This window comes from Homo sapiens, chromosome 6 (assembly GCF_000001405.40).
Source record: "Homo sapiens chromosome 6, GRCh38.p14 Primary Assembly".
Lineage (NCBI taxonomy): Eukaryota > Metazoa > Chordata > Mammalia > Primates > Hominidae > Homo > Homo sapiens.
Genome location: NC_000006.12, coordinates 2,844,616 through 2,854,634, shown reverse-complemented (window position 1 = coordinate 2,854,634; position 10,019 = coordinate 2,844,616). Strand labels below are relative to the sequence as shown.

At 46.4% G+C, this 10,019-nt stretch overlaps 1 non-coding gene across 1 annotated transcript, besides 5 other annotated features; it reads left to right on the top strand.

The window, feature by feature from the left end:
• Window positions 68-808: an enhancer, noted in NCBI's record as "nonconserved acetylation island sequence 71". NCBI's record gives its function as "activates a minimal heat-shock promoter by reporter assays in Jurkat T cells {active_cell/tissue: Jurkat}" and the evidence as "EXISTENCE:reporter gene assay evidence [ECO:0000049][PMID:17135569]".
• Window positions 528-604, top strand: MIR4645 (microRNA 4645). The gene has a single exon (NR_039788.1). It is a non-coding gene; the product is annotated as a microRNA 4645 (primary transcript).
• Window positions 2,104-2,293: an enhancer, noted in NCBI's record as "active region_23873". NCBI's record gives its function as "activates an Ori minimal core promoter by ATAC-STARR-seq in GM12878 lymphoblastoid cells {active_cell/tissue: GM12878}" and the evidence as "EXISTENCE:reporter gene assay evidence [ECO:0000049][PMID:35858748]".
• Window positions 5,485-5,727: a silencer, noted in NCBI's record as "fragment chr6:2849142-2849384 (GRCh37/hg19 assembly coordinates)". NCBI's record gives its function as "represses an EF-1alpha promoter that drives an FKBP-Casp9 reporter gene in an ReSE screen in HepG2 liver carcinoma cells {active_cell/tissue: HepG2}" and the evidence as "EXISTENCE:reporter gene assay evidence [ECO:0000049][PMID:32094911]".
• Window positions 5,485-5,800: a biological region, named in NCBI's record as "Sharpr-MPRA regulatory region 12426".
• Window positions 5,506-5,800: an enhancer, noted in NCBI's record as "tiled region #12426; K562 Activating DNase matched - State 5:Enh, and HepG2 Activating non-DNase unmatched - State 23:Low". NCBI's record gives its function as "activates a minimal TATA promoter and a strong SV40 promoter by Sharpr-MPRA in K562 cells, with weaker activity in HepG2 cells {active_cell/tissue: K562 | HepG2}" and the evidence as "EXISTENCE:reporter gene assay evidence [ECO:0000049][PMID:27701403]".

Here is a 10,019-nt window from a genome sequence, read left to right as displayed (position 1 = left end):
CTGTGCTGTTTCTCACGGGAGAAGTTCTCGTCTCCCCTGCGTGTACATCCCTGTTTGCCAGCCTGGCCTTCGGTGTGGTGATATCATGGTGCACTCCCAGGAGGGAAGTGCTTGGTCAAGACTTCTGCTTGGGTTCGACTATCAGTTCTGGTTTCCTTTAAGGCACAGGATCTTCCCTTTAAGGCACAAACACCCCCTTGACACAAAGTAAGGGACAAGGGAACTTTAAACCATTTGGAAACCCAAGCACAATAGGCTGTAGGTTGTAAAAAGAAATTACAAAGGTAATTTTATCCAGAAGAGGGAGCAGTTTAACTTCTGCAGGGTAAGATTCAGATTCACTTTTGTAACTGAACAGGGAATTTTCTAAATATTTTGAAAATGCCGAAACATTTCCTGTTGGCATTTCACAGAAACGTTCAAAGTTCCCTAATGATAGTTTCCGCTGTGCTCACTCCGGAGGCTGCTAAGCAACCTCAGTAATTAGCTCGATTGAGGAAACGAAACTGTGGGGGACTCAGTTTCCATGATAGGGAAACCAGGCAAGAAATATTGTCTCCTCAAGTTGCGACGAGACAGTAGTTCTTGCCTGGTTTCTCTATCATGGAGTCTTGGTTGGACTCTGCTATGCGTCTCTTGATGAAATGTGATACTAGCAATTGAACAATTAAGAAAATGGATGGCGGGGGGTGGAGCGGTTTGTCACTACTGGAGTTGCAGAGGCTCAGTGGGGGAACCTGAGAAACACTGCGTCCCCCAGGTCATCACCGCGTCAGCACTGATGAGTCATGTTGATGGCATGGACCCTGAATATGACACAATGAGATGTCACTTTACCTCTGTGGCCTTTCCCAGAAAAAACCATAACCCCAGTCTAACCATGAGAAAAATATAAGACAATGGTGCAGGCAGGGCATTTCAGGAGAGGGTCAGGTAAAGGGGAGGGGGTCCCAGGAGAGGGTCAGGGGAGGGGACTTCAGGAGAGGGACAGGGAGAGGGGAGGGGGCTCCAGGAGAGGGTCAGGGAAAGGGGAGGGGGTCCCAGGAGAGGGTCAGGGAAAGGGGAGGGGGGTCCCAGGTGAGGGTCAGGGGAGGGGACTTCAGGAGAGGGACAGGGAGAGGGGAGGGGGCTCCAGGAGAGGGTCAGGGAAAGGGGAGGGGACTTCAGGTGAGGGTCAGGGAAAGGCGAGGGGGTCCCAGGACAGGGTCAGGGGAGGGGACTTCAGGAGAGGGACAGGGAGGGGGGAGGGGGGCTCCAGGAGAGGGTCAGGGATAGGGGAGGGGGGTCCCAGGAGAGGATCAGGGGAAGGGGTGGGGCTTCAGGAGAGGGTCTGAGAACACACAGGCAGGCAACACCTTAAAATCCCATCTCAGTCAGCAATGACTCCTCATAGGGCCACCACGAGCTTAAATGTCACTTAAATGTCCCTATTTGCCAGCCTGGACTTCGGTGTGGTGATATCATGGTGCATTCCCAGGAGGGAAGTGCTTGGTCAAGACTTCTGCTTGGGTTCGACTGTCGGTTCTGGTTTCACATGCACTGTGTGAACACGCTTCATACAGAGGGTCAGCACCGCACTGTGTGAACATGCTTCATGCAGAGAGCCTGTACTGCACCAGGTGAACACACTTCATACAGAGAGTCAGCACCGCACCGTGTGAACATGCTTCATACAGAGAGTCAGCACCGCACTGTGTGAACACGCTTCATACAGAGAGTCAGCACCGCACCGTGTGAACACACTTCATACAGAGAGTCAGTACTGCACCGTGTGAACATGCTTCATACAGAAGATCAGCACCTCACTGTGTGAACACACTTCATACAGAAGGTCAGCAATGCACCGTGTGAACACACTTCATACAGAGAGTCAGCACTGCACTGTGTGAACATGCTTCATACAGAAGATCAGCACCTCACTGCGTGAACATGTGTTATACAGAGAGTCAGCACCGCACCGCGTGAACATCCTTCATACAGGTCAGCACTGCACCATGTGAACACACTTCAAACAGAGAGTCAGTACTGCACCATGTGAACATGCTTCATACAGAAGATCAGCACCTCACTCTGTGAACATGTGTCATACAGAAGGTCAGCACTGCACTGTGTGAACACGCTTCATACAGAAGGTCAGCACCGCATTGTGTGAACATGTGTCATACAGAGAGTCAGCACCGCACCGTGTGAACACGCTTCATACAGAGGGTCAGCACCGCATTGTGTGAACATGCTTCATACATGAGGTCAGCACCTCATTGTGTGAACACACTTCATACAGAGTCAGCACTGCACTACGTGAACATGCTTCATACAGAGGGTCAGCACCTCACTGTGTGAACATGTGTCATACAGAGAGTCAGCACTGCACCGTGTGAACATGCTTCATACAGAGGGTCGGGTCAGCACCGCACTGTGTGAACATGCTTCATGCAGAGAGTCTGTCCTGCACCAGGTGAACACGCTTCATACAGAGAGTCAGCACCGCACCGTGTGAACACGCTTCATACAGAGGGTCAGCACCGCACTGTGTGAACACACTTCACACAGAGGGTCTGTACCACATTCCGTCAACATGTGTCAGCACCATACCATGTGAACACGCTTGGTACAGTGATATACATGCATGTGGCAGAGCTGTGAAATTATGACCTGCTGCAGACAGACTTTGTACACTGTGCTATCAGCCAACTGGGCAAATGTGGACAAGAGTCCCTGCATGTCTCTATTCACCAGGTGTCTGTCAAATGAAATGGGCTGAACTGGATAATGGCAGGTCTGACCCATGATTACTGCCTGTAAGAGCTGAGTTATCCCAGAGTGTAGGCGTGGGATATTAAAATATATATATATGCAAATATATTTGGGCTGGGTTTGGTGGGTCATGCCTGTAATCCAGCACTTTGGGAGGCTCAGGCAGGCGGATAACCTGAGGCCAGGAATTCAAGACCAGCCTGGCCAACATGGTGAAACCCCGTCTCTACAAAAAAATACAAAAAATTGGCCAGGCACGGTGGCTCACGCCTATAATCCCAACACTTTGGGAGGCCGAGGTGGGCAGATCACCTGAGGTCAGGAGTTTGAGACCAGGCTGGCCAACATATAGTGAAACCCCAACTCTACTAAAAAAATACAAAAATTAACTGGGAGTGGTGGCAAACGTCTGTGGTCCCAGCTACTTGGGAAGCTGAGGCAGGAGAATCGCTCAAACCCGGGAGGTGGAGGTTGCAGTGAGCCGAGATACCGCCACTCCACTCCAGCCTGGGTGACAGATCAAGACTCCATCTCTCAAAAAAACAAGAACAAAAACAAAAAACAACAACTTAGCCGGACGTGGTGGTGGGTGCCTGTAATCTCAGCTACTCAGGAGGCTGAGGCACAAGAATCCCTTGAACCTGGGAGGTGGAGGTTGCAGTGAGCAGAGATCTCACCATTGCACTCCAGCCTGGGCAACAAGAGCGAAACTCCATCTCAAAAAATAAATAAATAAATAAATAATAAATAAAAATAAAAATATATTTGGTCTTAGTCCTTGGTTCCTGGCACAGAGCTTCAAAAATTCCTGGAATTTCCTGAGTGATAAGGATGTCTGTTTATTTGTAAAGCGCTCCTTCTGACCATGCCTGAGCTTATGCCAGTGAGGTGCCTCAAAGTGGGCCTTTAGAGAGCTTCAAGAGAGGGGCTGGCCATGCCAGAGAGATCAAGTCCATATTTAAAGGGCTAGAACGTTCAGCCCCACCCGACCTCTGCAGAGGGGAGAGGGATTGGGCACTGAGTTCATTCCTGCTTACATGGCTAACTTTTATTTGTCCCTCTCTCTCTCTCTTTTAAAATGAGTATAGGGACCTGAAACAGTGGCTGACACATGCCTGTAATCCTAGTGCTTTGGAAGGCCGAAGTGGGAGGATCACGTGAGCACAGGAATTTGAGACCAGCTGGGGCAACATAGCAAGACACTGTCTCTACAAAAAAAAAAAAAAAAAAAAAAAATTAACCAGGCACAGTGGCATGTACACCTGTAGTCTCAGCTACTCAGGAGGCTGAGGCAGAAGGATCACTTGAGCCCAGGAGGTCCAGGCTATAGTGAGCTATGATGGCACCACTGCATTCCAGCCTGGGTGACAGAAAAAGACTCTGTCTCTAGAAAGAAAAAAAAAGAGGACTTAAATTTTTACATTTTAGCTATAACTTACTGAAACTCTAAGTAGCCTTGAAATTCATAATATCATAAACAGGCTGGGCGCGGTGGCTCATACCTCTAATCCCAGCACTTTGGGAGGCCGAGGTGGGTGGATCATCTGAGGTCCGGAGTTCGAGACCAGCCTGGGCAACATGGCGAAACCCTGTCTCTACTAAAAAATACAAAAAATTATCCCAGCTACTTGGGAGGCTGAGGCAGGAGAATTGCTAGAACCTGGGAGACGGAGGTTGCAGTGAGCTGAGATCACGCCACTGCATTCCAGCCTGGGCAACAGAGCAAGACTTGGTCTCAAAAAAGTAAAATAAAAATTAAAAACTATTAAAAAACATATACTGAGGAGAGAGTACTTAAGGAAATGAAATGAGTTACATATTCTGCTCTGCTTTTCCTGTAAAGGAAATGTCAGAAGAGTCGGGGAAAGGGTCCCAAAGGCTGTCCCCTGGCAGATCCCCAGGTCAACACTTGGGGTGGGAGCTGAGAACCCTGGTGTGGAGCTCAGGTCTGAGCCATCCCCTACAATGCAGCTGTTACACAGAGTCCTACATCAAGGCTCCCAGGTGCATATACATATATATATATTTTTTTTTTTAATTAATTAATTAATTAATTTTTTTGAGACAGAGCCTTACTCTATTGCCCAGGCTGGAGTGCAGGGGCATGATCTCAGCTCACTGCAACCTCTGCCTCCTGGGTTCAAGCGATTCTCCTGCTCCCGAGTAGCTGGGATTATAGGCGTGCACCACCACGTCCGGCTAACTTTTTGTATTTTTAGTAGAGACGGGGTGGGGGCGGTCTCACCATGTTGGCCAACCTGGTCTCGAACTGCTGACCTCAGATGATCCACCTGCCTCGGCCTCCCAAAGTGCTGGGATTACAGGCGTGAGCCACTGCGCCTGGCCCCAGGTGTTTTAAAAAGCAGATGCCTCTGCCACTGCTTTGTCCCTTGAACCTGTCCAGAGTGCTGGGCTGTTGCGGGTTCCTTACAAAAATGTAGCCCAACTTGCTGAATTCATAGACAATTTAGAATTAAGAACAACATTTAGAACTTTGATGTTAACTCATGCATTCTTTGGTCCAAAGTAGAAATTTCCTCTTCACTATCCCTGAGTAGATTATCAAGTTGGCTTCGGTGACAAAAACGAGCATCGCGTTTCCATGGAGGGCTTCCCGTCTGTGTATGAGAAAGTTCTGGACATCACACTGCTTCCGACACATCCACATTAGTCCCCAGAGCCATGCAGAAGCAGCCTGCTGTCCATGACACAGTGCTCCATGCGACGGCACCTACACTTGTGGAAGGTTGACTAGGTGTTCCTCACCCAGGTGTGTTGGAACAAGCATTCTGGTCTGTCTCTCATCCAGTCTTACTGGTTGGTAAGTGTCTGTCGCGAATTGTGCTGTGCGTCGCTAGTGGGTGGGGCTAGAGGTTGTGGCTCCTGGGACGTGCTCTCATTTGCATTCAGCTTCCTGTTGCCATACCTGAAACACACTTAGGCAGCCTGAGCTCCAACAACCAGTTACTGCACGTGTACTACAGGGGAGGCAAATGCTCTTAACCACCTTCTGGACTGTATCTCGATTGATCCTAACCTTTATAGACATTTCATTTAATCTACCCAAAAACCTTAGGAGATTGCCATTTCTATCTCCAATCATAGATGATGCGGCTGGGTCTGTGACGATATGAGAAATTCACCTCAAGGACCCACCCAGTAAGAGGCTGCACTGGGATTCAGACCCAGGTCCTCTTGCCACAAAAGCTTCCTTCCAATTTCCGTATTGTATTGTCCAGATCTACCTGATGGTTTTCTCTCATTTCGGAGTCTTATCCTCTGAATGAAGAAAATCCAACTCCTTCCGAAATTCTGCCACAGAATATCACCCTCATCTCCCTCTGACTATGGGTGGCACCCACATCTGAAAGCCATCTCTAAACAGGTCAGGCCAGAGTGTGGGGCATGGCCCCTACCCCCTTACTGGATGTGGCTGCTTATGCTTCTACCAGTGCTAAAACCTTCCTCGCCATATTGGTGAATATTGACTTTGTGGTCAGTTAAAATTTCAGATTTTTCTTCATGTGAAGTGCTACTAAAATAGGCCTCCCACTTCTGGCATTGGCAGAATTGATTTTTTTTAAATCTAAATTTAAAGCATCTATATCGTCATTATTACGTTTCTTCATACTGGTCTGGGATGACATTTCACCTAGTGGAGTTCTTTCAAATCTTGATTCTGTCATCCACGGCAATAGGCTTGTGCTATTCGAAAATTTCTTCTTTGTGGCCCTCTATGCTTCCATCAAAGTTGTTTGTGAGAGGGTGAGACAGGACCACACACAGGCAGAGCCCTGTGGCATACCTTGAGAGACCTCCCTCCCAAGTGAGCCACAGTTTTAGGTCATTTCTTTTTTTCTTTTTTTTTGAGACAGAGTCTCACTCTGTTGCCCAGGCTGGAGTGCAGTGGCGCAGTCTCAGCTCTCTACAAACTCCACCTCCCGGGTTCCAGCGATTCTCCTGCCTCAGCCTCCCAACTAGCTGGGATTACAAGCATATGCCACCACGCCCAGGTAATTTTTGTATTTTTAGTAGAGACAGGGTTTTACCATGTTGGCCAGCCTGGTCTCGAACTCCTGACCTCAGATGAACCACCCGCCTCGCCATCCCAAAGTGCTGGGATTACAGGCATGAGCCACCGCACCTGGCAATTTTAGGTCATTTTTATAGCCAGCTAACAATCCTTTTTTTTTTTTTTTTGAGACGGAGTTTCATTCTTGTTGCCTAGGCTGGAGTGCAGTGGCGCGATCTTGGCTCACCGCAACCTCCGCCTCCCGGGTTCAAGCGACTCTCGAGCCTCAGCCTCCTGAGTAGCTGGGATTACAGGTGCACACCACCACGCCTGGCTAATTTTGTATTTTTAGTAGAGACGGGGTTTCTCCATGTTGGCCAGGCTGGTCTCGAACTCCTGACCTCAGGTGATCCACCCGCCTCAGCCTCCCAAAGTGTTGGGATTATAGGCGTGGGCCACCGTGCCCGGCCAATCCTTTATTACAATATAAGCTTACTCTTGTTTATCTTGTCCTCAGAGTAATAATCGGAGGCTTCGGTGAACGCCTCATTCTTCGTTCTGAATTCCCAGGCAAACTTTTTTGCACCATGATTATGCCATGCAGATCGTTTCTGTCATGTACTTTGCTTCCTGTATCTTGCTGTTTATACTGGGACCTGAATTCCTCTTGTTGGGGCTCCATTTTCATTCAAATTATAGTTATTCTATCCATGCAGTTTAGAGAGCTTTTTATTCTCCTTATCATTCATCAAGAAACTGAACTGAGCAATGTTGTATCATCTGTCCACATGGCTTGGTTTGTTCTGAGCTATAATCTTCATTCACTTATTCAGCAAAATTTCCTAAACAACTACTATATGCCAGGTGTTTTAGATACTGGGGACGCAGCAGTGAACAACTGGGTCAAAGCCTTATTCTCCTGATGTTATGTTCTATTGAAGGAGATAGGCAACCAGTTTCTGATGGTGACTGAGGCTACAAAGCAAACAGAAAGTAACTCGGGATGAGAACAGAAGCCAGGGAAGGTCTCAGGGAAGAGGTGGCATTGAGCCGAGACCAGAATTAGAAGAAGGGGTGAGTCATCTAGAAAGAGGCAATATCAGGGACAAAGACCTGAAAGAAAATGAGCCTTCTAAGGTGAGACACTGAAAGGAAGCTGGTGAAATGAGGGGGAAAGAAGGATGCGAGGTCAGAGGAACTCCCCAGTGGACTGCTTACATGGATATTTGCAAGAGAAAATTAAATTATAGACATTCTAGGTACCCCAGTGAGGAGGACCAAGCTGGACTGAAAAGGAGAAATTACGTGATGTCCTGGCATTTATGTCTCAGCGGAAGCCAGTGATTTGTATTTTATAAATGATGGAATTCTGCCCTCTGGAGGATGAAGCTGTGTTACACAGCTGAAATTTTAATGCTAGGTTTCTTCCATTATTTGGCAGAAAATGAAAGGACTAAAAGAAACCCTGGCCAGGCGCGGTGGCTTGCTTGTAATCCCAGCACTTTGGGAGGCTGAGGCGGGCAGATTGCTTGAGGTCAGGAGTTCGAGACCAGCTTGGCCAACATCGTGAAACCCTGTCTCTACTAAAAATACAAAAAATTAGCTGGGCATGGTGATGCACACCTGTAGTCCTAACTACTCAGGAGGCTGAGGCAGGAGAATCGCTTGAACCTGGGAGGCGGAGGTTGCAGTGAGCAGAGTCAAGATCGTGCCACTGCACTCCAGTCTGGGTAACACAAAAAGACTCCGTCTCAAAAAGAAAAAAAAAAAGAAAAGAAAAGAAAAAAGAAGAAACCCTGAGAGATTATTTTATCTGTTTCTCTCATTTCAATCACGTAAGCTGCCTAAGATAGGAAAATGTAAATGATTTTAGACTTTCCTGGAAGCGTCTTGTTATCTGCAACCACTGTCCAGGGGCCAAAATTATTCACTGTCATGAAATTAGTCTCACCCAAAATTCTCAGACTATTATAAGAAAACATTATCTGTAAAATGATTTTGTGTTATTTTTCTAGTTGTGTTTATAAGTTACAAATTAGTTTTTTGGTGTTTTTTGTTTTTTATTTTTGAGACAGGTTCTCACTTTGTCACTCAGGTTGGAGTGCAGTGGCGCGATCATAGCTCACTGCAGCCTCATGCAACTCCTGGGTTCAAGTGATCCTCTCACCTCAACCTCCCAAGTAGCTGGGACCACAGGTGTGTACCACCACACCCAGCTAATTTTTAAAGTTTTTTAGAGATAGGGTCTCCCTATGTTGCCCAGGCTCAAAAAATTATTTATTAAAAACAAATGTAATAATTATTTTCATATTTCTCCTTTGCTATACTAAATACAGGCTATGGCACACAAAAATTGCTTTTTTTGAGTTTAAAATATTTCCAGTTGCTGAACTGCTAGTGGATTACTATACATTTTATCTTTTGAGGATAAAATAAAATATATTACCTAAAATAAATCACCTAAAATAAATTACCTAAAAGAAAATATATTATTTTATTTTACCTAAATAAAATAATAAAATAAAATAAAATATATTAGTACCTAAAATAAAATATATTACCCAGCGAGCACAACATGGAAATAATTTACCCACAAGAATTATATTTAACATATTTACAAAACGCTATTGTGAGACTTTTAATTTCACCATGCTGCAAGTTTATTAAAAGTGTCACAATTCACTTAATAGCAGTTTCTTAAACTGAACAAGAAAACAAGCTAATTCAAAATGACTTGAAGAGTGAAGAAAAAAATTCTCAAGATGCTTCTGAGAGTTCTGGGTGATCAGTAGCAGCTCGTTTGAAGAGCCAGAAAAAGTCTAAGTTCTACTTTCAGGAGCTGGAGGCAGGAGGAATAATTCAGGAATAATTCAAGGTGGAGGAGAATAAGGAAAAACGCTTAGGAGACTGACACTTCTCCATATTATTGTTGGATGAGATGGGCTAGGAAGACTCGGGGGCAGTAATGTGGCCGTGTCCACACATTTCTCCTAGACAAGAGGGATAAGAACAAGGCCGGCTTCTCAAGAAGAGCCCCTGTCTTAGTCTTTTCCTGCTGCTTTATCAAAACATCTTGTAAACACTAGACACCTATTTCTTACAGTTCTGGAGGCTGGGAAGTCCAAGGCTGGGAAGTTCGAGATCTGCAGGTGCAGACTCAGTGTCTGATGAGGGCATTTTCTTGCGGTGTTCTCATTTGGTGGGAAAGGCAGAAGGGACAAATGCTGTGTCCTCACCTGACAGAACAGATGTT